The following is a 27,626-nucleotide window of genomic DNA, read 5'->3' on the forward strand; positions in this document are numbered from 1 at the left end:
CTCTCTTCAAAGCTGTCAGACAGGGACATTTACGTCTGCAGAGGTTACTGCTGTCTTTTTCTTTGTCTGTGCCCTGCCCCCAGAGGTGGAGCCTACAGAGGCAGGCAGGCCTCCTTCAGCTGTGGTGGGTTCCACCCAGTTGGAGCTTCCCGGCTCCTTTGTTTACCTAAGCAAGCCTGGGCAATGGCAGGTGCCCCTCCCCCAGCCTTGCTGCCACCTTGCAGTTTGATCTCAGACTGCTGTGCTAGCAATCAGTGAGACTCCGTGGGCATAGGACCTTCCAAGCCAGGTGCGGGATATAATCTTCTGGTGCGCCATTTTTTAAGCCCGTCAGAAAAGCGCAGTATTCGGGTGGGAGTGACCCGATTTTCCAGGTGCCGTCTGTCACCCCTTTCTTTGACTAGGAAAGGGAACTCCCTGACCCCTTGCACTTCCTGAGTGAGGCAATGCCTCACCCTGCTTCAGCTCGTGCATGGTGTGCTGCACCCACTGACCTGTGCCCAGTGTCTGGCACTCCCTAGTGAGATGAACCCGGTACCTCAGATGGAAATGCAGAAATCACCCGTCTTCTTTGTCGCTCACGCTGGGAGCTGTGGACCGGAGCTGTTCCTATTCGGCCATCTTGGCTCTCACACCTGGATAGTTCTTAACCACTTGCTTTTGAACAGTAATCTGGGTCTTCTTTCTTAATAAGGTGGTAGACACTCACACTAACACATAGGAAATCTTATGTCCCTGTGTGCAAGAAATTCAGGCTACTGTGCCTTCACAGAAGGTGCTGTATGGGCCTAAGAAATGAGTGGGCAAGCAATTTCTCCATCTATAGAACAAGGAGTCTGGATTAGCTGTCATCCCTTTCACCTCTAGGTTTCTGTGCTTCAACCCAGGTAAAAAGGAACCTTTGGATTTGGCCATTTGTTGTAGTTACTGTTTTCCTTTTGTTCTTATCCTTCGGGGTTGAAATGCTTTTCCCAGAGCTCAAATGGTCTATTTTGCCTCTGATAATTTCCAAACTGTGAAATCTGTTTCCATTGTAGTTTGCCATAGCCATGGAAGAGCCATGGTTTTTAGTGCAGACTTTTATGTCTTCCCTTCCCTTTGGACTCTAACATTATGAAACTGGCTCATAATTTGCTGGGCATTTGTTTTGGGATTTGCATAAAGTTGATCAACTAAAATAGGGCTAACAAAATGATTACAAAGTTAGCATGATGAAAAGAGGTATTTATATGGGATGTGTGATGTTGTATTGGGAAGCAAGTCTATTCAGTAAGATGTGAAGAAAGCTGGGAAGGGGAACTGGTGAGCAGGATGATCTAAAAGGCTAATGTTGACTGTGCACTGGGTGCCAGGCACTGGGCTAGGTATATTATATATGTTAGAGCTAATCTTCATAAAATCCTGTGAGATGGATTCTTGTTTTTATTTTTCAGTTAAGAAATTTGAGCTCAATAAACTTACATAGTTTTGAACAACTTAGTAGTTATTCAAAAGTGAACAGCTATTAAGGAAGAGAACTAGGATTTAAATACTTGTCTCTCTTATTCCAGGGTCTGTCATTGTTCCAGTATTCCAAAATGATTCTAAAGAATAAGAGCATAGAATGTCAGGGCTCAAAGTATCCTTAGAGATTATTCAACCTTTCACTGTGTACACATGCATAACTGAAATCCATCTGGATGACCTGATTTGTCCAAGATTATGAAAGGTGATAGGACCCTTGAGTGTTGTGTGTAGGAGTGAGAGGTACCACAAAAAGGTGTTTTTTTTTTTAAAAAAAAAAGAAATTTATATCATTTTCTGTTGAACCTATGGTTTATTCTTCACAGGTTTTTGTCTTTGCTAATGACAGTCTTTTCACACCAAATTCTCAAAACAAGTGTGACCTACACTTTCTCCCAGCCATCCCGAACTTTTCTTTCATTCCACTGCAGTACTCTCAGCATCCTGCATATTAACCTGAAGCCTAACTGTATTAAATCTGTTTAGAATTTCAGCCTGCACAGTCTTGTTAAAATCTTCCATTTGTTTGAGAACCACCAACGATGAAGATGATGAGACCCTTGTTCTCACAGCTCAGATTATGGTAAATGAGCTCATGTCGACCTTCTCCATTTACTTCAGGGTGTTACAAATTTTGACACAGCATTTCTTTTAGACTTCAACTTTGTAAATTGTTGACTCATACTCTCTTCTTGTGTGGAAGTTTCTACATTTCCTCATCACCCAAATTATTGACAATTACATATTATTCTCATGGCAGAATTATCAACTTTATCTTCGGAATTCTGTTTTGAGATTTAAAATTTTGTTTACAACTCAGTTTTCTACTTGCATTCCTCTTTTATTCAAAGAAAAAAATAAAAGTAATGAATTAACAGTGTTGTGAAAGGTGTACTCATGGCATAAAATCTTCTGGGGGGTGGTTATAGAGTTTTACGTAAGCACACGTGTGTTTAAAGCTTGAATTACACATTATAGCTCAAGACCAAATATGTGCTCTTCACAGCTCAGTAATGGATGTTTGGTAGTTTTGATATAGTTTGGTGGGTTTTTAGGTTAGGGAGAGATAAACTTTTTTTTCCTGATTCAGGTGATTAAAGTCCTGCATATAAAAATATCATTTATTTTGGCGAGGGTATTTTGTTTGCTGACAACAGGTCTTTGGAAGGCAAAAAGAACCAGCTCACTGAATGGGGGCTCTTAAGATATTTCTGATCTGGATTACTTGGAATCAGGGGTCTCAGAAGCCACAGTCCTCAAAAAAACAAAACAAAACAAAACAAAACAAACCCAGAGAGAGAGAGAGAGAGAGAGAGAGAGAGGCTGTCGGTGGTCAGTGAAATAGCCCAGCAACTCTGAGTGTCTTGTGACTTCTCACCCTCTTGGTGCAAATTGATCAGAGCTGTGAGGATGGGCTGCCCCTGTCCAGAGCGTCAAGAACAAATTTATCTGTCCATGTGGGGAGTAAATGTAAAATGGAGCCCTGAATCCCAACAAATGATTCATCTGTCTGCACAACTCAATGAGCTTGCCTTCATGTCTTCCTCCCAAGCTTACACCATAACTTCTGGGACTGGATCCTAGGGAAAACATGGTTCCCATCTGTCATCCTAACTCTAGATAAACGTAGACATAGGCAGCACTAATGTCTACAATGCGAAAACTGACTTTAGTAAATCCTCACTTAAAGTGCTATTTGTAGTCTTGCTTTGATGAATAACTGCTACCTAAGGACAGTATATCTTAGCGAGAATTAACACTCTGTCAAATTCTTCAGTTGGCTAGATACTGACAGTAAGTAGAGAGAAAACAGAGTCCCTTCTGACAAATGAAATTCAAGTCCTATTTCTTACTGGAAAGCAAGAATGATTGGAGATAATCCAACACTTCAAATGATTATCACTGATAACTGGAGGTAAAAATGACCGTGCTTCAAAATGTGTTCCCAGAACTCTACTTTTAGCTTCAGTTTAGATTTTAGTCCTGCCATATTATATTATGATCATGAAGTCATGAGTTATTTTATTTTAAAGAACTCTTGAATGTTCCAAGATTCTCTAGTGATGCTGAGTTTTGTTACTCCAGGATATGTCCATGAAGCAAGGCAAAGTTACCTCTATTTTTTCATTTGCTTCCATCCAGGAGCTACTGCTAGTGATCACATGAGAACAAAGACCCTTGATATGTAATAACCGTCAAATGCCAAGATTCTGGCTGCCATTGCCAGTGCCTTGCTGGAGTCTTTGAACTTAGCTTCTGGGTCAAAGCATCTAGAAAGCAGTTTGATTAATATATGCATTAAAAGATGTATGCCCATGTTGCAAAATAAACTGGAAAAATAAATAGCAGCTTCTTTGGCTGGCTTTGGTGGTGTATTGCTTTGGATAGAATTCCAAATGGAAATTCAGATGGCTCTTAAAACAAGGTAGTAAGCTTTTAGATCCCTGAGCTGAGGCTGCAGATAAAACTGAGGCAGAGTACAGAAGAGAGGGATAGTGGTCTGCAGTTGGGATGTCCAGCTCATTTCCAGTCTCCCAGCTGGTGGTGTCAGGTGGTTCTCTAGCTCACTCTATGGAGCTCAGTGTTCTTCACTTATCATCAGGGCCTCCCTGAAAAAATGGGACTTGCATAACTGTCTGCCCTATTTCTTTTCTTAAAAATGCTTTAGAAACTGTAAAGTTTTCTGCAAATATAAGGTATTGTTCTGCCATCTGCACAGGGTTTAATAGCATCCTCCCAAACTCACATTCACTTGGAACCTCAGAATGTGACCTTATTCGGAAATAGGGTCTTTGTGTATTTAATTAGTTAAGATGAAGTCATACTAGATAGGGTGGGTCCTAAGTCCAGTGTCTGATGTTCTCATAAGAGGAGAGGACTCTCATACACAGAGGTGCACAGGAAAGATGGTCGTGTGATGATGAGAGTGGAGATGGAACAGCACAGCTACAAGCTAAAGAACACCAAGGACTGCTGGTAACTACCAGAAGCTAGGAAAGGCATGGAGCAGAGGCATTCCCAGTAGATGACAGTAACAAGCCTCAGTTGTGACAACCAAAAAAGGCTTCTCTCAGAGTCTCCAGAGAAAAACAATCCTGCTGACACCTTGATTTCAGACTTCTGGCCTCCAGAACTGTGAGAGAATACATTCCTGCTCCTTTAAGCCACTCGATTGGTGATAATTTGTTACAGCAGTGCCAGGAAATTTTCTTACCTCCTTTGGATGATAGCTACTTTGTGTCCCACACTGTGCTAAAACAGGTATGAAGAATGCAAAAGTTGATCAAGATGTATCCAAGGATGGGCAGGAGGTTTTCATGTCTGCTTTTTTTTTTTTTTTCCTAATCATGGACATTTTTGACCAGCTCATCTTATTCGGTTAGAATAGGCAAATGGGTTTCTAGAAGAAAAACTGGATTGTTATGGATTAAGGTGATGGATGGATTATATATGTCAAGAGTCTACTTTAGTTGCAAGTAACCCCCCAAAATCAAATTCAAGTGAAATTTAACAGATATTATTAGGTCTCTTTCTCCACATCTCAGCTTTCTTTCTCTTTTTCTGCTGACTTCAACTTCTCTTGTTGCAGATGGCTTCTCCATGGAAGCTTCCTTCCAGGGAGCCACAAGGAGCACAGATGCAGGCAAGTCCAGTTTATTTTGTCCTCACTGGCACATCTTACAGCAGTGGTTCCTAACTAGGGTTAATTTTGCACCCCACCCCCATGGAAATTTGTCAATGTCTAGAAATATTTTTGGTTGTCACAACTGGGGCTTGTTACTGGCATCTATTGGGAATACTACTGAACATCCTAGAATGTACAAGACAGCTCCCATAACAGACAATTATCCAGAACAAAATGTCAAGAGCGCTGATATTGAGAAACTCTGTCTTAGAACATCTCTCCTGAAAGTGCTGGTGGAGATGTTTCAAGAGGACTCCAATCTCCCAAGTTTTGGTCATGTGCCCAACCTTTAGCCAATCAAAGTGGCCAGAATAACAACCACTGGCCATATCATTGACCAGGTGTGGGGCCAAATGACCAACCCCTCAAGACTCCATAGATGATGGGTGGTCTCCAAAGGGAAGAACACTTGGGAGAAAATGTGTGCTCACTACAAATTGGTTTAAGGACAGGTGGAGGAGCTCAGACTCTTTTGACTAAATATTACTTATTACTTAAAGGAAATGAGGCAATCTTGATCATGGCTCACCTCCAAAGCAGCACTCTGAGGGCTTTATTATGTCTTCAGTAAATGTTTATTGGAGGTCTTGTCTGTGCCAGGTTCTGGGGCCAGTAATGTGAACTTCACTGTCAGAGCTGCTACACTGTGGTAACCCTTGCAGGCTATGGAGCAGCGCGGTGGGATGGGGGGAGGATGGGATATGGGGATATAAGCAAACACCCACACAAAACTGCTAAGAAAGAGAAGAGCCCATGAGAGAGAGTAATAAGAATGACCTATTTTGGGTAAATGGGAAACATCATAAGGCATAAGTAAGAGCAAAGGTGATAACTGTGGGTTTGTGCAGAAATGTCAGCTAGTGGCTACTGGTTGGGACCAAGGCTGTCTGTCCCTAACCGAGACAGATCCATTTTAAATAGTCATTGGTTTTGAAAAGCAGAGAGTTTGTTTATTTTTGTCTCTCTAATCTGATTCTGAGAAGACCATGAAAGAAAACAGAGAAACCAAAATACCTAAATTGTTCTAATTTAATAGAGGCTTGAAGGAAGACAGACTATTAAAAGTGCCCTGAGGAAGCCTCGCCTGAGAACTGCAGCATGGGTCTGCGATAAGGTTTCAGAGCCCTGCCCCTGCACACACAGCCATCTCTTCATAGGAGCACTAATGGGAGAGAGTGGATTTAACTGTGTGATGCTGTTGGCCTTGGCCAGAGAATGCCAGTGTTAGTTAGGAACAGGTCAGAGAGGGAACGTGACTTAAAAAAAAAATTGCAAGTTTCCCATTTAAAGTACACAATTCAATCGTTTTTAGTATATTCACAGATATGTGCAACAATTGTCACAATCAATTTTTAGATAATTTTTAACACCTGCTATTGGCAGTTGCTCTTGTTTTCCCCCAACTCCCCAGCATTAGGTGACACCAATCTGCTTTCTGTCTCTAGGATTTGCCTGTTCTGGACATATCATACAGATGGAGTCACATAATATGTTGCCTTTTGTGTCACACATTATGTATCTTACCAGTCACATAGTATCTGACTTCTTTCACTTAGCACGTATTTTCAAGATCCATCCACACTGTAGTATGTATCAGTACGTCATTCCTTTTTATGGCTGAATAATATTCCATTATAGAGATGTGCCAAATTTTGCTCATCCATTCATCAGTCAGGGACATTTGGATTGTTTCCAGCAATAATTTTTATTAGTTTTATGTGCCAGGTGAGCAAGGAAAGCAATGAGGCCAAACCTGTCCCATGGTTGAACTACCTGTAAGTCACTCTGGCCATATGGTAGGAAGGGGAGAGACGTCTTTCACTTGATGGTGGCTCAGGGCTGGTTTGTAAATTTCAATTGTCAGAAATGCCCCCTGCCCTTCTTCCATGGACATCTGGATTTGGTTATGCTGACTACTCAGCACCTTTTGCAATATCATTAGTTCCTGTGTTGTCCTTTCCTCTGACACTGTAGATTTATCATTGTCAGTGGTTTTGGCTCCACCAGCCTCAAACAGTACCTCTTCAAGTGCTAGATAACCTCTGCAGCAGTGCAGAGATTTGCAGCATAATCGTGTATAATAAACTCTTATGTAGTTGCCTTATTTTGCATTGAAAAACTTTTGATATTCAACAATGTCATTCAGTGTTAATGATTCCTATAGGTATCATTCCTTACGATTTGAAAAATCACTTTGACATATTAACCCATTTAATTTTCATTTCTGTGCTGAGAGGTAAGAAGTTGAACATTACTGTCCTCACTTGGCAGAAAAGTTGAGACTTAGAAGCCTCAAGGAAGTCACAGCATTGGCTCCAGAATCCAGGTTTCCTGACAGATCTTCCATTCCTCTTTCCTAAGGGACCACACTGATTTCCACGGTGCCATGCAAAGCACAGCAAAATGTGGCCAAATTGGTCTGCAAAAGAAAACACCTGTGCATGTGTGTCAGGGTCCTGAATCCTTTTGCTATCCCAGTGGAGGGACACTGAAGCCTTGTTCTTATTTGGAGACAGTACTGGCGTCTTTGTTCCTGCCTGCTTTTCCTCTAGTACCACAGATATATTTAAAATGCCACTTAGTCTAAACCAGGGAGTTGAATGGGTTTTCACAATCTCTGTGACTAGCTAATTGTAGCTGCTGGGCACACACTTTTATTTCTGTTGACATACTGTAGGAGTGCCAGGACTGGAAAGTGTTGTCTGTGGGAGAAAGAGACACCAGCAAGAGGGGAGACAAGTGGGCTCAAGGTAGCAGAGGGAGGGTTTTGTTCTTGGTAATGTTTTCTTTGTTTAACTATTGTAAAGTGGTAAAATTGTTTCTGATTTTCCATTAAACTGCTGTTGGAAAACCAGGAGAGCATGCATAGCATCAATATACATTTCTCTTTAATTCTCATTTTGACCTTTCATTTTAACTCCTTTTTCCTGTAAGCTACTGTTAAATATGCAAACCAATTAACCTATCTTTCATCTCTTTCATTTATCCTCCCAACTTCCAAAATAATACATGGTAAAATTGTACCTATTTGCCCATCCTCCTCACAAAAGACATAAAAATCACAAAAATTATACAATCACCACTCAGCAACTGAAATACCAAGATGTCAGGATGATCCATCCACAGACACAATAATAGCCGGTGTTTGATATAAGTTTGTCCTGCCCAGTAAACTCCATGTCAACAGGATTATTCCCTGTTGTTAGTTTGTGCATCTTCAGGCAGGGCCCACCCAGCATGGGGACTTCACAGAGCAGACACTCCATAAATACTTGTGGGATGAGTGAATCAGTGCACACAGTAGGCTCAACAAACCTTTGATTGATTCCATCCACTTCTCTCCAGTTTAAAATAGTTTTGTCACCAGGTGCAGTGGTTCAAGCCTGTAATCCCAGCACTTTGGGTGGCTGAAGCAGGTGGATTGCATGAGTTCAAGGCCAGCCTGGGCAACATGGCGAAACCTCATCTCTACAAAAAATAAAAAATTAGTTTTCCATGGTCCTCACACCCTGGTCAGCCAGTTGCTCCTCGTAGTCTTCCCAAAGGAGATCATTATTCCCTACGATGGCCTTCAGCTCCTCATGACTATCCCACTCACTGCTGTAGATTTCCTGCAGGGTTTCTGATACTCTTTTTGAACTTTCATGCATCACTTCAGCTGCACTAAGGAAGTTCTTGAGGTCCTTGTATAGCTTGTGGTCTTCTGCCTGTTGATGGTAGAAGTTGTTGGGGCTTTGTTCAAATTGTTCACCTTTGGTTTACTACTTCACCCAGTTCAGTGAGATTGAGGAGAGAATTGCCAAGTGGGGTTGAAAACTTGTGGATTATGATGGTGCCCAACATCACCTGGATGCAGTGCAGAATGCCAAGAAGAAAGACGAGGCCAAGACTGCCAAGGCAGAGGAAGAGTTCAACAAAGCCCAGACTATGTTTGAAGATCTGAACCAAAAACTACTAGAGGAGCTGCCTATTCTTTATAACAGTCATGTTGGCTGCTATGTGACCATCTTCCAAAACATTTCCAATTTGAGGGATGTCTTCTACAGGGAAATGAGCAAGCTGAACTGCAATCTCTATGAGATGATGAGCAAACTGCAGAAGCAACATTCCAACAAAGTCTTTGTGGTGAAGGGACTATCAAGCAGCAGCAGGCTCTCTTTAGTCATTTATCCCCCAGTTCGAACATCTATGGCCTCCAGTCCTCTTACCTCACCTACTAGTCCCTCTACACTTTCCTTGAAGAGTGAGAGTGAATCTGTCGCAACAACTGAAGATCTGGAACCTGATGCAGCCCGGGGGAAGATAATTCTGAGATCAAGGAGCACTTAGAAGATGAGGAAATAGAGAAGGAAGGATCTGAAGCAAGCTCCTCTGAGGAAGAAGAGCCTCTACCAGCCTGCAATGGCCCTGCCCAGGCCCAGCCCTCTCCTACCATTGGGAGTGGCAAGTCCCAGGAGGAAGTTCTCCCTAGCTCCCCAGCTCCATCACCAGGCAGAACCCTGAGCCCTTCAGGGCAGCCTTCATCATCTGCCACAGAAGTAGTCCTCCAAACCCGCACAGAAAATGAAGGATCTGAACAACCAAAGAAGAGAACCTATATCCAGAGGACGTCAGCACCCCCTAGTAGGCCTCCTCCACCCAGAGCCACTCCAAACCCCAGGCCCTCCTCAGGGAACATACCCTCCAGTCCTCCAGCCTCTGGAGGGGGTTCAACCACTGGCCCTAGGGTCTCCTTGGGGACTGAGACTCCAAGTCCTAGTACCTCCCTAGAGTTCTCCCCTAATCCAGAACTACAAAAGAAGCCAGTAAGAACTCCTGAGGTCAAAGAAAATGAAAACATCCACAATCAGAACCCCGAAGAACTTTGCACTTTTCCCACCTTAATGACATCTCAGATTGCTTCAGAGCCTGGAGAGGCAAAGAAGATGGAAGACAAGAAAGAGGATAATAAGCTTGTCTTAGCTGACTCCTCGGAGGGCCAAGACCAGCTTTAAGTCTCCACAGTACCAGACAAGAGCAACCTCACAGCACCTGAACCTCAAGAATAGGTATCTACAAGTGAAAATGCACAACTCTGAAGAGAAACTGCCAAGACTCCTCTCACCCCACACCTCCCCAAAGAAGCTCTTCAACCAGAGGGTATAGGTCAGAGAGATATAAGAGCCAGCAACCATCCCTGGGTTCTCAGTAGGAATGCTGGTGCTCTCTAAAGACCTGACATTAATGGAGGCGGAGGAGAAGACTTATGGGAGAGGTGGAGTGAGGCAGGCTGAGGAGAAGAGAACATTAGACTCAAGGAATACTTAATTCAGGTTTTAGCATTATTAGAATAAGACTTTATACATTAACTAAAGTGGAACTATAATCACTATAAAAAGCAAAAGCATCTATAGACAGACACTTGTCTATACAGAAACATAAGCACACATACTCAGAGATAGTGAACAAATCTGTCTTTGACTTATGACCCATTTTGCAAGACTTAAAGCCAGAAGAACGCATTTTCAGATTGCTAAATAAAGTCTGATTCTGACAAAAAAAATACAAAAATTAGGTGGGTGTGGTGGCAGGCACCTGTAGTTCCAGCTACTTGGGAGGCTGAGACGGGAGGATGACTTGAGCCTGGGAGGTCAAGGCTGCAGTGGGGTGGAGCGTTGTACTCTAGCCTGTGTGACAGAGTAAGACCCTGTCTCAAAAAACGAAAATAAAATAGTTTTTTCTCCTTATTGAAATAGAAAACCCCCCACAACTCTTGACTGTAAAAAATGTCAAAAAATATGCAACTATTGGAGCAAGTATAACTAGTATGTAGGATAGGATCAGACATGACCCCATTCTTGCTCTGACCTCATACCATTTCTCTAAACATTACTTGATATGAGGGTGGGGGCCCTTACATGAAAACTCTGGAAAGCCCTATTATGTTTCTTCTTATTCTTAGGTAACAGCTCATGAAGTAGAGGAGAGGAAACAAACCAAAACAGGTGATTGTTTTAAAGTCTTCCACAGAAAATTTCTGCAGAATTATTTCAGGATAAATCCAAAGTAAGGTACTTTTGCTTAACAGATTTTGGTCTGTATCCTAAAATTACATTGCCCAAGAAGATGATCAAGCCAGGTGAGTTGGAATAAACCTAGAATAGGCTAAACTCTTTGTTTTCCCAAATGGCAGGAGAGTGTATTTGATTTAGAATATGGTGGAAGCCATGAAGGCAAGAATCCAAGAATGGCCCTCATTCATGGCATAGTCAATCCATACTAGGTTTCCCATGAGGTAAACCATGCCACAGGAATAGGCCAGTGAGGGATAAGGAGTCAGAGGCTTGGACCCAGCCTAGGAATCTAGTCCAAATGATAGTGCTCTCCAAATGATAGTGTTCTAACCAGCAGGGCTTTCCAAGTGATAGTATCCTAACCAGCAGGGTTAAAGTGGGTTTGGCCAGTATGGAGGTCCCCAGGATCTGATCCAGCGAGTAGGATATAAATTAGGAGTCTCCAGATATGGACCACACTTGAAATCAGGAAGATAACTGTATCATGCTTCTGAATATGCCATTGTATCTAGGGGAAAGTTCTAGCTCACAAAGCATGCTATAAATAAGAGCAAGTTGAGCCTCAGGGTCCCAGGCAGGTGAGCTCCTAGAGGGTTTAAGTCCAGGTGCTGGAAAGCGGGGAAATGATTAGAAAGCCTTGAAAGGGTTAGGGATTAGGTAGACCTAGACAGTTTTGGAGTGGAGGAGGCTGTATTTCATAAAGTACGTAGAGGTCCAAGTTCACCACATGTATATTGTGTGTAAGATGACAAGACTAATTCCAGACCACATCTTGGGATAGGGATGCTCCTACTGAACATTCTGGAGACTTCTTGGCTCCCAGAGTGCAGGTTGGTTGTGTTGAAAAGTAACTGGGGAGACCAGGACTGGTGAACCATCTCTTGGCCCTGTTTCAGAAATGGAGCTGTCAAAATGCAGCCCCTAAGGTGAATATTTGCAAAAGATTCTGGATTCTTCTCAAAAAGCTAGATTACTTGTACAGGGCTTTTAGCCTACAAGTGAGGCTAAGCTATATTTCAGCCTTTGTATGGAAATGCAAACCAGGGAAGAAATATTTTTATTGTGATAAAGATCATAGCTAGTCAGAAATCAAATAGGCCATAAATGAGAATAGTTAAAAAAAAAACACACCTTAAACATTATATTTTAACTTGAAACCTATACATGTACATTTATTCACCCATTTGCCAATGTGGGTCTAAGGTCTTTTCATTGAGCATGAATTGGCTAATCATGGCTCTGCATCATTTTCATGTGTAAGCTAACCCCATATTGTCTTCTCTATGATTCCCAGTTTCATCTTTAAAGTACAATGAGGATTTAAAGCCTCCTGCAAAAACAAAAACAAAATGTGAGTGTAGAACTCTTCTAGAGTTCTTTTATAGCTGCCTTCCCCACACCTCATTCATTTAAACATTTACCAAATTTATTTTTCCTTCCAAAATATTCAACTTATATTTTTATTAACATAATTACTACTTTTTCATACCCATATTTTGTCAGTTTGAGTAATATTCAATCAAATTATATTATTATGATGAAGGGAACTAGCATAACCAGGTTTGGGAGTAAACCCAGCTGAATCTTTAGTGAAAATACAGCTCCACAGGTGGGAACAGAAGTAATAGGTTGTGTCCAGAAGCATGGCCTCCTGATGTGGAGAATTCAGCCTCCCACAAGTGTTAGTCAGCATTTGTTACAGAGGGAATGGAGAGTGGTTGTTAATTTTGTGAATTGGTTCAGTGAAGGTGTATTAAGAGAGTTCCAGCTGTACTCCTTAATAGGAGAGAGTACAATTAACTGAAATTTTTGCTAATGTATATCCAAATCTAAATTTAATTTTGGGTACATATTATAATATAAAATTGATCTATCTTATAATGATAGTCAACATGTAATGAGTGGTTTCTATTATTACAGCCTGAGCTAAATGCTTTACATGAAAACTTATGGATGTGATAATGCTATCCCCATTTTTATTAGTCTGTTCTCATGCTGCTGATAATGACATACCTGAAACTGGGCAATTTACAAAAGAAAGAGATTTAATGGACTTACAGTTCCACATAGCTGAGGAGGCCTCACAATCATGGCAGAAGGTGAAAGGCACATCTCATGTGGTGGCAGACAAGAGAAAAAGAGCTTGTGCAGGGAAACTCCCCTTTTTAAAACCATCAGATTTCTTGAGACTTACTCACTATCACAAGAACAGCATGGGAAAGATCCCCCCATGATTCAATTACCTCCCACCAAGTTCCTCTTACAACACATGGGAATTGTGGGAGTCACAATTCAAAATAAGATTTGGGTGGGGACACAGTCAAACCATATCACCATTTCACAAGTGAACATACTGAGGCATAGAGAGGCTATTTCCCTTGCTCAAGGTCACAACTATCAGTGTGCCCATGCTCTTAACCCACATCTATTTGGTGCCTGAAATCATACTCCTAATCATGACACCATGCTGCTTCATGTTACAGCAATAAATGCCAATAAATGCAAAGGGACCTGATATGCAGAAGCTGCCAAACAATGAAGTAAGTAGGATTCCTTAAAACACTTTTTAGTAATTCCTTTTAAAGTTCAAGGTAATTGTTGAATCAGTTAAGCTTTCTGGTTCTCAGAAACCTGGATTATACTTCAGGGAGACTTCATTGCACTTAAAGAGGTATGACTGCCTAATATATAGTTAGATATGAGCAACACAGGTCACTGTAACAACTCAACATTTGTTAAGCACTTGACTATTGAAAGCGTGAAAATAAAAAGGATGTGGCTATTTCGAGAAGGAACATGCAGTCTCCCTACTCATGAGAATAGGATTTGTGGTCCACTTGGAGAGACAGGATTGTTCACTTGATGATAAACCATGGAGGGCAAGGAGTACAAGGTCCTCAATGAGTGATGCAGACAAGAAGCTCCAGGAATGGGTAGGTTAAGGCCAGGAATGTGGTCAAGATGCTTAACGAAAGGCTTAGAGCTTGATGTGGGCCTTGAAGAGGGGCAACTGGTCAAGGCAGGGGACATTCTGAGCAGGAGAAAGAGAATGAATATAATTCTTGGGGTAGGAATATGCATCTGGGGCTCTTGCGTGCTTGCAAAAGGGGTCTTATCAAGGAGTGGAGAGAGACAGGTAGTATAGAGCTAGCTCATGGAAGAACTGGACTGTCAGGCTAAGGAATGGAAATATCTTTCAGGCAATAGAGAATTACTTACATCAAGGTCTGTGGTATTATATGATCTTATTTGACTTCTAATAAGAATGAAAACACCTCCAGTCAACACAATCATTCAGTGGCAAGTCAAAACGTTTTGAACATTGCAGAAGATGCTTCTTTTTCTTCTCCTCCTCTTCCTCCTCCTCCTCTTCCTCCCCTTCCCCTTCTGGTTCCTCCTCCTTGTCCTCTTTCTCCTCTTCTTCCTCACCTTCCTCCTCCTCCTCCCCTTCCCCTTCCCCTTTCTCGTCCTCTTCCTCCTCCTCTTCTTCCCCCCTTCTTCCTCCCCTTCTCCTCTCCTCCTCCTTCCTCCTCCTCCCCTTCCCCTTCCCCTTCCTCCTCCTCCTCCTCCACCTCCTCTTCTTCCTCCCCTTCTCCTCTCCTCCTCCTCCTTCTCTTCTTCCTCCTCCTCCTCTTTGTTTTGTTCTGAGACTCAGTCTCACTCTGTTGCTCAGTCTGGAGTACAGTGGCACAATCTTGGCTCACTGCAACCTCCGTCTCCCAGGTTCAAGTGATTGTCCCTGCCTCAGCCTCCGAGTAGCTGGGATTACAGGCACACACCACCACATCTGGCTAATTTTTATATTTTTAGTAGAGACGGGGTTTCACCATGCTGATCAGGCTGGTCTTGAACTCCTGATCTCAGGCCATCCACCCATCTTGGCCTCCCAAAGTGCTGGGACTGCAGACATGAGCTACCATGCCCAGTCCTCATCATCTTCTTTACCTCCAGCACTTACACCTTTCTGGAGATTTTCTGGCCAGGGAATGGGCTGTTCCCCCAGTGCCAGCCTTGGGCAGGATGAAAATACCTAGGAGTGATGCCCTGGGAGTAGCTTTCAGCCAACGAAGGTTGGCAGGTGCCTGGACAAATACCCCAACCTCCTCACCCCTCAGTGGAAGCAACTCTGAGTTGTGGATTCTCCACCGTCTCCAAATGCTCCCCAGAGAACTGAACCCTAGTTGCCAACAACAGGACTTGCTTGGTAACACAGCCTTTATTCACTGCCTTTCCTTCCCTATCTCCCTTCCCACTCCTCTACGGAGATTTCCTGGGATCACCTCCCAGTGAAACTATTTGTACTTTAATCTTTGTCTCAGGTTCTGCTTCTAGGAGAATCCAAATTAAGATAGTTATTTTTTTCAAAATAGCAGACTCTTTTTTAACCAGCCTGCCACCAAACCTTTAAAAAACCCAAACAGTGAATTTGGCCTCTGGAAGCAGCATGACTACCTGACAGGCATGTGTAGCATTTTTACCTTCTCTGCCTGTATATAACTTCTGACATGTACAAGTTAGGTTTAGCACTATATCAGAGTGAATTATGCTTGACACTGTGCTAAGGAAGAAAAAGAAGAGAAATAACAGTAAATAAATATTGACCACAGAGCTTTCACAGAATCAGGCACTTTTCACATATAATAATCTATGTAAATCTCATAACCTTACAACACAGATGGAACTGGAGGTCATTATGTTAAGTGAAATAAGCCAGGCACAGAAAGGCAAATATTAGGTGTTCTCATTTATTTTGGAGATATAAAAATCAAAACAATTGAACTCATTGACATAGAGAGTTGAAGGATAGTTACCAGAGGCTAGGAAGGGTAGTGGGAGGACTGGGGGAGGTGGGAATTGTTAATAGGTACCCCAAAAAAATAGAAAGAATGGATAACACCTACTATTTGATAGGACAATAGGGTGACTATAGTCAATAATAACTTAGTTGCATATTTTAAAATAACTTAAAGAGTGTAATTGGATTGTTTGTTACTCAAAGGATAAATGCTTGGGGAGACAGATACCTCATTCTCCATGATGTTATTTCACATTGCATGCCTATATAAAAGACTCATATACCCCATAAATATTTATACCTACTATGTACCCACAAAAATTAAAAATAAAATTTCATAACTTCTGAAGTAGAAGTTATTGCCTTATTTTTCAGCTGAAGATATTATTATACTATAAAGCCATGGAGGGTGAGGATTGTATTTTACCTGCCATTTTATCCAGTTTTCAGCACAGAGCCTGGCAAATAGTTAAATCCTAAGAAATATTTATTTGGCAAGTGAACAAATAATATGTTAAGTAGCTTGTCTAAGGTCACAGAACCAGTTATTCGCAGAGCTGGGATTGCACTACCTTGTGATACTCAAGGAAAAGTAACCTTCTATTGATTGTTCCAGGCAACACTACAACACTTTGGTAAATACAACGATTGCAGACAAATTTCTTTTTGGTGTGTCCAAAAGAAATAAACAGGGGCTTTATATTCTTTTTCCTATACATTATGTAATTTATAGGCTATTGAACAGAATGATAGTTGCATACGTATTTTTATTTCAATGACAATTTGGTGTGACTTTTTAATTCAGCAAATGTTATATCTTCGTGAAAGATGTAGGCTCTAAGGGGGAAAAAGCTCCAAGTTTAGAAATATGAGGAAGAACTTACTCATCACAAAGATTTCTGGCACAAAACAGACCTAATGGTTTTTCTACTCTATGGCCCATGCCGCTTGTGTGTGTGAGAAGCTATAGTCTGTCCCTCATGAGTGGCTCTTCTTTGCACATCATCCACCACTCAGACTGTTGCTATTAATCAAAACAAAAAGGACTAACTCTTGAATGATGGAATTTTGGGAGCTTGTGGTAGATAACAAGAGTGATAGATATCCCAAGTGGAAGCAGAAGTCAGATAACAAGAGGGAAGAAGAGTTACACCACAGAGTGGATATGCAGAAGAACAAGCATATTTCCCAAATCCATCATAACCAGCACATTTTTGTAACTGGAAACAAATGCACTTCCAATATGAACATGTTTCAGTTCACAGGGTAGTACGTATGTGAAGCGAGCTGTGAGATCTGATATTTGTTGCATAATGAGCTTTTACTCCCTGCCTGATGCCCTGAAGTTTTAAACATTCCGGCAGAATTCATGATTTCTTGACTTGGTAATTTTTTCTCTCATATCCAAATGGGATTCCCTCCATCTCCAAAGTTGTTGAATGGAACTGTAAGTGAGAATTTAAACTTGTGATCCCAAAGCTTAGTATGGAATACTCTGTTTGGATTGGTTTACTCTTTTTGCTCAACATGAGAACAGTGTACAAGTTACTGACTGGATAGCATGATGATCCAGATTGTCTAGAGCAAGAAAGGCTAGATCAGAGAGAAAAAAACATCCTTTCTGCTGTTCAGGTTGGTCACCGGGCCCTCCCCTATCGGTGTGTTTCAGATCCTCTGTTTTTCTTCTCTGGACAGTGTTTTTCTACCTTATGCTTCTGTTTACTTATTTGCTTCTTTTGCTTTGTGATGAGAATCAAAATTGTCTATGCAGCTGGCTGTCTTCATCAATATAACTTTACTATTAAATGCAATTCTTTCCCAGGAAGATAAAAATTTCAAATAATATTATTGCTGGTTCCCGTAACTTCCCCAAAGATCCATGAACTCTTCTATAGAATGCATCCTAAACCTTGTTCTCTTAAAATTCTCACCTAGCTGTCTGCAACAATCCTAAATTATTTTATCATAACCCTGCTCTCATCCTAATTAAACTCCTCTCCATCATCAAAAGAACCTACCTTAAACCAGACTTTGAAATGTCAATCAGTATCCTGACTGTTAATAAGGCTTTGTTGATGTTCTTTCTTAGTAGGTAAACAATACACTCAGCTTTGTCTTATCCACAGGCTGTTGTAGTGATATTTTGGACAGCAAGCATTTGACTTTGACAATTGTGTACAGCATTCTCATTGTCTTTCTGCTTTGGTATAATTTACTCTCTGCCAAATTCTGTATTTCAAACCCCCAATTCCCAAAGTGTAAGAGTTTGATAAGTTTTGGTTAACTGCTGTCATACCTGTTGGACAAAGCTGAAGTATATGGCCTCTTTCTGGACTAATGGTCAGCTCAGAGATTCATTGCCTTTGGGTATGGTCTCTCTGCTAGACCAAAACATAGGTGGGTGGTAGAGATATGCAGTAAAACACATGGCCATAGAAGTTAAAGGAATTGACTACGTCACTTTCTTAAGTAAGAATCTATGGACAGGAACTCTTAGAAGGGGGCTAAGGGCACAGAAGGCATTCTGAGAGTAAACGCTGGTGAAGTTATACAGGTGGAGAGCATTATCTAGGAGCTGAGAACAAGGATGTGGTACTGACTTCATGGTTTAAAGGTTGGGCCCTCCTTTTTTGGTCACTGATTTTGGATTCTTGTTTTCCTTTCAAGAACAAAAGTTTCTCTAGAATCCTTCAGTCACCAATCAAATAATCAGGCAGGAGAAAAACTTTAGATGGGAGTCTTGTCATCAAAAATAAATGCAGTTGCATGGAGCTGCCTAAGATCTGAACCAAACTAAAAATAGGAAGGCAGAGGCTAAAAAGCTATTTTAAGAAACCCCCCCAACCACAGCCACCCAGTGGGCTAAGCGGGGAACAGGAAGCATGTCTGGTCACACCATCTTGGAATAAGAAGCCATGGCTGGCTGGATTGGATCCTCTGATAGTGCATGTGGACCTGAACTTGAACATGATGCCAGCACTGCATAGGGAGTGGGTGGTGGGGGGTGGGTGGGAGGAACTGCCCTCACTCCTGCAGCTCCTTCATTCTGTTGAGGGCACTGCCGGTGTGGAACCACTCAATCTGCGTCTCCTTGAAGGTGCGGTTCAGGAGGATGGTCTCTTGGGTCCCGTTGGGGTGCTTGATGATGCACTTCAGGGACTTGCCAGGCGAGACGTTCTTCAGGCCCTGAATGGTCAGCTTGTCCACAGGGTGAATCTTATTGTAATGGGCTGGGTCAGCGAAGGTCAGGGTCAGCAGGCCCTGCAGGCCCTGGTCTCGTGGATCCTGGCAAAGCTCTTGGTGATGATGGCCCGGCCCCTGAGGAGGTGATGCTCCAGTGCTGTGTGCTCCCCGTGCGAGTCCTCGCGGTAGTTCTCATCCCTAATCACCACCCACCTGATGCCATGTTTCTTGTAGTAGCGGGCAGTGTCAGGGATGGGGCCAAACTCCTGGGTGAGGGCATTGTGCACGGAGTTGGCCTTGCTGTTTTCAATGTTCATGGCACCAATGAGCAAGTTGTTGGAGATGTACTCCAAGTGCCCGTGGAACTTGAGCCAGGGGCCAGCAGCCGAGATGTGGTCAGTGGGACACTTCCCTTTGACTTTGATGAGGATCTGCAGGTCCTCCAGGTCCTTGCCATCCCACTTGTCAAAAGGCTCCACGAGCTGCAGGTGCTGGCTGGTGGAGCTCACATCCACATGCTGCCTGCTGCTGTCCTTTGGGGGGTGCTGGTAGGTGTCCTGCCCTGGGTCAAACTGCGCTTGGGGAAGCTCATATTGCGTCTGGAGCCTCCAGCTTGAACTTCTTGCCATCCTTGCCCATAAGGCAGTCGGTCTCTGGGTTGAACTTAGGGTTCTTGCAATGGCCAGGGCTGTGACAATCTCTGGGGAGATGATTGAAGGCATGGTCTTGGGGTTTGTGTCATTGCGGCCCGTGAAGTTCCTGTTGTAGGAGGTGACAATTGTGTTCTTCTCCCCCTTCTTGATGTTTTTCCTGTCCCACTGGCCAATGCGGGGGCCCCCTTTTATCTGTTGGTAAACAGCAATGGATATACCCAGCAAAGAACAGAGGGTATAAAATATTTGAGGCTCTCTAGCATTTTGTTTCAGAAGCTCATGGTATCTACCAAGCTCGTGCCAAGGATTGTTGTGAAGATTTAATAAACAAATATATAGCAGGGTTTTTTTTTTTAAGCCTGTAAAGTCTAAAATGGATCCAATATCATCAATTTGTTTATTCATTCATTCATTCATTCAAGAAACAATCATCTAAAGTTTACTGTATGTTAGAAATTGTAGTAGGCTCCAGGAATACAAACACAAATGCACCCATTCAAAAAGCTCATGGTCTAGTGGAAGAAACAGATAGAAGAGATCATCGAAAACTGAATATATGACTCAATAAAGGAATGTATGAAGTTTTATAAGAACATAGATAAATGATATATATTAAAAATATGTATAGTTTACATATATTTTACTAACTTCTATATTGTCCTGTGAAATATATATTATTTTCCCTCTTTCACATTTAAATAACTGAATTTAAGGAGGACCAAATAATGCAGGCCATAAGTGATAGATCTGGTACTCAAAGCTAAATATTCTCATTCAAAATCTAGTCCTTTCCCCCCAGTCTATCAAGCTGCTTAATTAACTCAGCTGTTATTATGCTCAATGGATAGGAAATTTATAAAACAAGACAAATAAGTGTAAGTGGCTAATTTTAATTTTAAAATTAATAAAATTAAATAAAAAAATTGAATTTGTCATTTTTCTCAGTTTATACAACTCATAAAAAGTAAAGTAAGAAATATAGCAACTGCTATAGGCAATAGTGAATAGAAGTAAGTAGTCTCATTTACTAAAGGTGAGAATGTAAATCAGTATAACCTTTCTGGAAGGCAAATAGTTATGGCAGAGACTGCACTTTGTGTTAATCAAAACATTTCCTCACCCTGGGAATAAAAGAAGACTGTCTTTCCCAGGTTCCCTAGCAGTTCAGTTGGAAATTATGTGACTTTAGTCAATAAATACAGGCAAAAGTAACATATGCCATTTATAGACCTAAGTCCAAAGATCACTCAGAGTGACACTTCAGCTCTGTCTTCTCTTCCATGGCAATTTAGGAACCACATGTTTGAAGCAACCCAGATCCCAAAATCATCACATGGAGAAGAGCCACCAAAGAGAGCCACCTGGCCCACATTGGACAGTGACTAGAGCAAGAAATAAACCTTTGATGTGTTAAGCACTGAGCATAGGGAATTGAATTGTTACCACAACAGAACATATCAACTAATGGAAATAACAAAATATTTTATCCCCATTTTACAGATGAGGCTACTGAGGCACAGAGGGATAAGTAACTTGCCCGTGGTCACAAAGCAAACAAATAGCTGAGCTTTGATACTGGCATAAAAATAGGCATGTAGACCAATAGAACCAAATAGATGACCTAGAAATAAAGACAAATACTTGCAGCCAACTGATCTTCGACAAAGCATACAATAACATAAAGTGGAGAAAGGACACCCTATTTAATAAATGGTGCTGGGAAAACTGGCAAGCCACATGTAGAAGAATGAAACTGGATCCCAATCTTTCACCTCATGCAAAAATCAACTCGAGAAGGATCAAAGACTTAGTTAAATCTAAGACCTGAAACCATAAAAATTCTAGAAGATAACATCAGAAAAGCTCTCTGGACATTGGCTTAGGCAAAGAATTAATGACTAAGACCCCAAAAGCAAATGCAACAAAAACAACAACAACAAAACAGGACCTAATTAAACTAAGAAGCTCTGCACAGCAAAAGAAATAATCAGCAGAGTAAACAGACAACCAACACAGTGGAGAAAATATCTGCAAACTATGCATCTGACAAAGGACTAGTATCCACACTCTATGAGAAACTCAAACAAATCAGCATAAAAAAAATCCCATCTAAAAGCGGGCAAATGACATAAATAGACAATTCTCAAAAGAAGATATACAAATAGCCAACAAACCTGAAAAAATGCTCAATAACGCTAATCATCAGGGAAATGAAAATTAAAACCACAATGAAATACCACCTTACTCCTGCAAGAATGGCCATAAAAAGTCAAAAAACAATAGATACTGTCATGGATGTGGTAAAAAGGGCACACTTTTTACACTGTTGCTAGGAATGTAAATCAGTACAACCACTATGGAAAACAGTATGGAGAGTCCTTAAAGAACTAAAAGTAGATCTACCATTCGAACCAGCAATCTCACTACTGGGTGTCTACCTAAAGGAAAAGAGTCATTATAAGAAAAGTACACATGCGCATGCATGTTTATAGCAACACATTTCACAATTGCAAAGATATGGAACCAACCTAAGTGGCCTTTGACCAATGAGTGGCTAAAGAAAATGTGGTATATATACACCATAGAATACTACTCAGCAATAAAAAGGAATAAAAGAATGTCTTTTGCAGCAACTTGGATGGGGCTAGAGGCCATTATTCTAAGTGAAATAACTCAGGAATGGAAAACCAAATATCATATGTTCTCCCTTAGAAGTGGGAGCTAAACTATGAGGATACAAAGGCATAAGAGTGATATACTGGACTTTGGGGACTTGGGGGAAGTTTGGGAGGGGGATGAGGGATAAAATATTACATATCAGGTGCAGTGTACACTGCTCATGTTACAGGTGCACTAAAATCTCAGGAATCACCACTAAAGTACATATCCATGTAACCAAAAACCATCTGTACCCCAAAAACTATTGAAATAAAAAAATATTCATTTCAAAATGTATTTCTTAGTCAAACCTTTTGTCTTATACAATAAAAATAAATAAAAAATTGCTGAGCTAAAATAAGAAACCTACTCCAGATCACATAGCTAATAAATGTCAAGCCCATGCCATTGACTCTAGAATCTACATCTTACATCTTAACTATCACATATGCTGCCTTTCTTAAATAAATTATGGTATCTATAACATACTATGCAGCCCTTAATATATGACAAAGTGGTATTTTAACTCACTGGGCAAAGGTTGGGTTATTTAATAAATGATGCTACCCCAATTGACTGTCTGGAGGAAATTAAAATTAGGCCTTTCTTTGAAAATTTATACATATATATATATATTCAAAATGAGTAAAGAAGTTTGATCATAAAAATAAAATAGGAAAAATCGAACAGACTATGTGTACAATCTAGGAATGGGGGAGACCTTCCAAATCAAGATGGGATATCTAGAAGCTAGTACAAAACAAAAGGATGTTTTGAAGAATATTAAATGAAATAAATTGTTCATTAAATAATGAAAAATACAGTATACAAAACACCCTAGGAAATAAAATTATTGAATCATAAAAAGTTATGGTTATTTAATATGAGTTTTCATAGCCCTCACCTGCCTATAGATACTAAGGGGTTTACACTATTAGTAAAAACACTTATTTCTCTGGTCCTACCTCTTTCCTATGTTATATGGAACCACAGCTCTTTACAAAACATGCTCCAAATAAATCCCCCAGTCCTGGAGCTGGGAAGTTCTAAAATGTGCTCACCAGCACGTCTGTTCCCAGTGGGCAGTAAGGCCGGACTTCTGTGCCATCAGGCTCAGCACAGAGGCACTTGAGCACCTCTGACCCCAGGAAAGAATCCCTCTCTTAGTTTTGTCATAATGTGAGAGAGGGTCTTAAGGTAGTTGCCTTGGCCCCAGTGTGTAAACAGTGTAGTGAAATTACTTTTACGATATTTAATCACATTTCCCAATACCCTCATAGGACTCAGATAGTAATGGAACGGGCCAGTACCATACACCATATAGGTAGCTGGCAGAATTAGGTCAAACTTCTCATGGGCACTCCTTCAGGACAGTTCCCTTCCAATCTCCATACACATAGAGTGCTGGAGGGTGGCCCTTGGGATTGAACAGATATGTCCCAGGGACATCTGAGTCACCTGAGGACTCAAGTGCTCAAACTCTGCTTGTATTTGGTGATTAGCACCAGGCTAATCGCAGTATCATGGGGATGGAGAGGGAGAGTTCCTCTTTAATATTTTCTATATTATGTTCATTTAAAAAATAAATATTTTTATAATCTTAAAAGATTTTTTTAAAAAACAAAAAAAAGCACAAAGAACATAGATTCTTAGAGTAAGCAATTTAAAAAAATTATAGAATCTACCTCTATGCAGATTTTTAAAGTAAGATGGTTTATCATCTACCTGCAATGTGACCCTGGAAATGAGCTGGACAACAAGTTAATCTTAGGTTTCCATGAATCACTTGGGTTTCGTTGGACTTTCTCTTTCTTTGACTCATATTTAAACCAGAGACAGTAGGAGTCTATAAAAATTATTGAACATTGAAACACTAACATCTGAACTTTTTTAAAGTTTCAGGTTGAAATGGCTTCTGTTAAGATCTCACTTAACTGCGGTTGATAGAAAATGGCAATATTCAATCAAAGTTATATATAAATTAGGAAAAGAATTAGAAGCCGGGGTAGCTTGACACAGATATAAATTCTCACTGAGCTTACCCAAACTCTCATCTGCTCCAAGGCTTACCCAAACTCTCATCTGCTTACCCAAACTCTCATCTTTGAGCTTACCCAAACTCTCATCTGCTCCAAGCTGTATAGAAGTTTCTTTCAGAGTTATTTCAGTTCATTTCAATGAAAAAATTATCAAATATAATAAAACATTTTTGGAAAGACAGGAGGGATTTGGGACATTACAATTGGTATTAAAAGAACTAATGAGCTTTGCTACTGATAAAGTATTTCTTGCATTCTTTTTTGGTTCAAAGAGTGATACCCAATTATTAATTCTTAAGCACATAAATCTTTTCCATTTTTGTTTTTCCTGCTCGGTGCCTGAATTTTCTTGGCTACTACTGAAATGTGTTGAATAGGCTGATTCTACTTTTTATCTGCATATTCTATGGATCTAGTGGCTCTGAATCCAAGCCACTATAATAATGATGGAAACAAAATATTTCTGATGAACATATAACCAGATATTGCTGACAAATAGAAAAAAGAACAGGCTGATGGGGGCCAGACTGTGCATATGATCTGTATTCCTGCCAAACTGCATGTATGCACAGCCACACAAAGACAAAATCCTTTGGTAAACACTCACAGTTGAGGAATAGGGTACAACATTTTAATATATTAACCATTTGAAAAAATTCCCGTTCCTTTTAATCTCTTGTATACTCTCACCATTCAAACTAGACTAGAGGTATCAATTTCCTCTGGAAGGAATATTACAGCAGAGAAAACAAATAGAAACCACTTCTCAAGTTTGAGGTTCAGAATGGGCTCTTGAGCCTCTTTACTATTTGGCGGAAGAAGATTTGACTGCAAAAGCCTGAATTTTGAATATGAAAATCTAAGATTCTAGAGGACTCGAGGCATAATTTTTTCCATTAATGTATGAGATTATGTGTAATGCAGGTGGATATCAGTGCATGATTTTCCTGTTGGAGAGGAGCTATGGATCCTATAGATTGAGAGCTGGAAGGGGCTATGGTTTAAATGTGTTCCCTACCCTATGTTCATTGCAGCATTATTCATAATAGCCGAAATATGGAAACAACCCAAATGTCCATCGACAGATGAATGGATACAGAAAGTGTGATATAAACATACAATGGAATATTATTCAGCCTTAAAAAATACAAGGAAATCCTGCCATTTTTGATAACATATGTGAACCTAGAGGACATTATGCTAAGTGAAATAAGCCAGTCTCAGAAGGACAAATACTATATGAATCCAGTTATATGAAGTATCTAAAATGGTCAAACCCATACAAGCAGAGATTAGAATGGTGATTGCTACGGGATGGGGGGAGGGGGAAATGGGAAATTATTTTTCAATGGGTATGAAGTTTCTATTACACAAGATGAGAAAGTACTAGATATCTGCTGTACAACATAGTACATAGGTTTAACAATATGGTATTGCATACTTCTAAATGGAAGAGGATAATCTCATGTTGTGTTCTTACCAAACAAACAATAACAACAAACCCCCCAAACCCCACAAAAGAACATAAAGACATTTTTGAAGGTTATGGATATGTTTAGTGCCTTGGTTGTGATGATGGTTTCATGGGTGTAGTCACATTTCCAAACTCAGCAAGAGGTACACATGAAATGTGTGCAATTTTTGGTACATCAGTTATACCTCAATAAAGCTAAAAAAAATTTCAAAAGAAAGGGTGAGAGAGCAAGGGAAGGAACCCTCTACAGGAGCCACCAAAGACCAGGAAGTGTGGTAGCCCTACAGGAATTCCCATATCCGGGGTTGAGGGAGAGAAGAGTGTAACTTTCATCGAGTGTCTATTACATGCCAGACATAGTATTGGATTCTTTTTTATTGGTATGCTCACACTTTCCTCCTTTTCTAAAATATAATTTTTTAGCCTTGTTTTAATTGTGGTACAGTATATAACATAAGATTTGCCATTTTAAACAGTTTAAGTGTATAATTCAGTGGCATTAATGAAGGTTGCAGTGATATTCAACCATCACCACCATCTACTTCCAAAACTTTTCATCACTCCAAACAGAAACTTTGTATCCATTAAAAAATGCTTTGTCCTTGTCATTAATTTTATTTCATTTCAAACTCTGAGAGAAATGACCATGAAGCAGGTTTTGTTTTCATTGTTTAGCTCTCTCATTTGATCCCCTGGAAACTGCAGAAATGTTGGGAGTTTGGGCCCTGAAAACGCCCGGGAGATGATGTTCAGTCCCTTATGCTGCTGCATGTATTTACTTAGTATTAGGATGTGATTCATGGTAAACACATGTAGGTATTAATTATTCTAAACTTGTGGTCCCTGGACTTATCCAGGGGGTCTATGAACTCCCTGCAATTGTAATCAGAATTTTGGATGCAGATGCATTTGCTTGGGAAATGATTATGTAGCTTTTTCCTCCTCAACCTTAGAAGGATATATAATCCCCAAAATGATTACAATCCCCATTTTTGAAGATAGAGGCTGGGGAGTAGGCACTGAACCCTCAAAACTTCGTGATGGAGTCACAGAGTTTAAGTACTCTTACTGTCTCTGTGTCATCCCTCTGTGGTTAATTTGGTTTAAGGAAGCTTGGAAGAAATTCTGTTCCCAGTCTCCTCTCTCCATCTTCCACTCCCCAGACCCCATCTCACCTTACCAACTTCTATCTATAGTCTGCATCCTGAAGCCTAGAGAGATGGGAGAACTGGAGGAAATGCCTGGATAGTACAATTGGAATATTAATAAAAGAACAAGTGCATGAAGCATGACAGGAAGGGGAGAATAATTTTGCTTCTTTCCTCTGCCTGCATAGAGAGGAACCCCTGTGTTCTTTTGACCTTATCTCTGCCATTTTGCACTCATTATGGCTAGGTTTCAAATTCTCTCTGCTTAGAGGCCTCCCCCAAATCATTAAAAAGTTCCCTGGTGTCCCCAGCCCTGCCTGAATCCAATCCTGGCCCAACTAGATCCCACTCACCCAACCTACTAGTCAGCTCTGCTCCACACCCCTGTGTCCAGGGTTGACTGTCACTCTGTCCTCTCAAACACATCAACCACCT

The 27,626-nt window shown here is 40.8% G+C and overlaps 1 protein-coding gene and 2 pseudogenes across 1 annotated transcript in view, besides 1 other annotated feature; 2 read left to right on the forward strand and 1 right to left on the reverse strand.

The window, feature by feature from the left end:
• SV2C (synaptic vesicle glycoprotein 2C) overlaps positions 1 to 27,626 on the forward strand; it is a 506,476-nt gene that overhangs the window by 54,142 nt on the left and 424,708 nt on the right. The window lies entirely within an intron of this gene.
• BIN2P2 (bridging integrator 2 pseudogene 2) lies at positions 8,977 to 10,563 on the forward strand (annotated as a pseudogene).
• Positions 15,237 to 15,495: a silencer, noted in NCBI's record as "fragment chr5:75212667-75212925 (GRCh37/hg19 assembly coordinates)". NCBI's record gives its function as "represses an EF-1alpha promoter that drives an FKBP-Casp9 reporter gene in an ReSE screen in phorbol 12-myristate 13-acetate-treated (for megakaryocytic differentiation) K562 erythroleukemia cells {active_cell/tissue: K562(+PMA)}" and the evidence as "EXISTENCE:reporter gene assay evidence [ECO:0000049][PMID:32094911]".
• On the reverse strand, positions 19,061 to 20,277 carry LOC100996384 (aconitate hydratase, mitochondrial-like; annotated as a pseudogene).

This window comes from Homo sapiens, chromosome 5, assembly GCF_000001405.40.
Source record: "Homo sapiens chromosome 5, GRCh38.p14 Primary Assembly".
In the NCBI taxonomy this organism is placed as follows: Eukaryota; Metazoa; Chordata; class Mammalia; order Primates; family Hominidae; genus Homo; species Homo sapiens.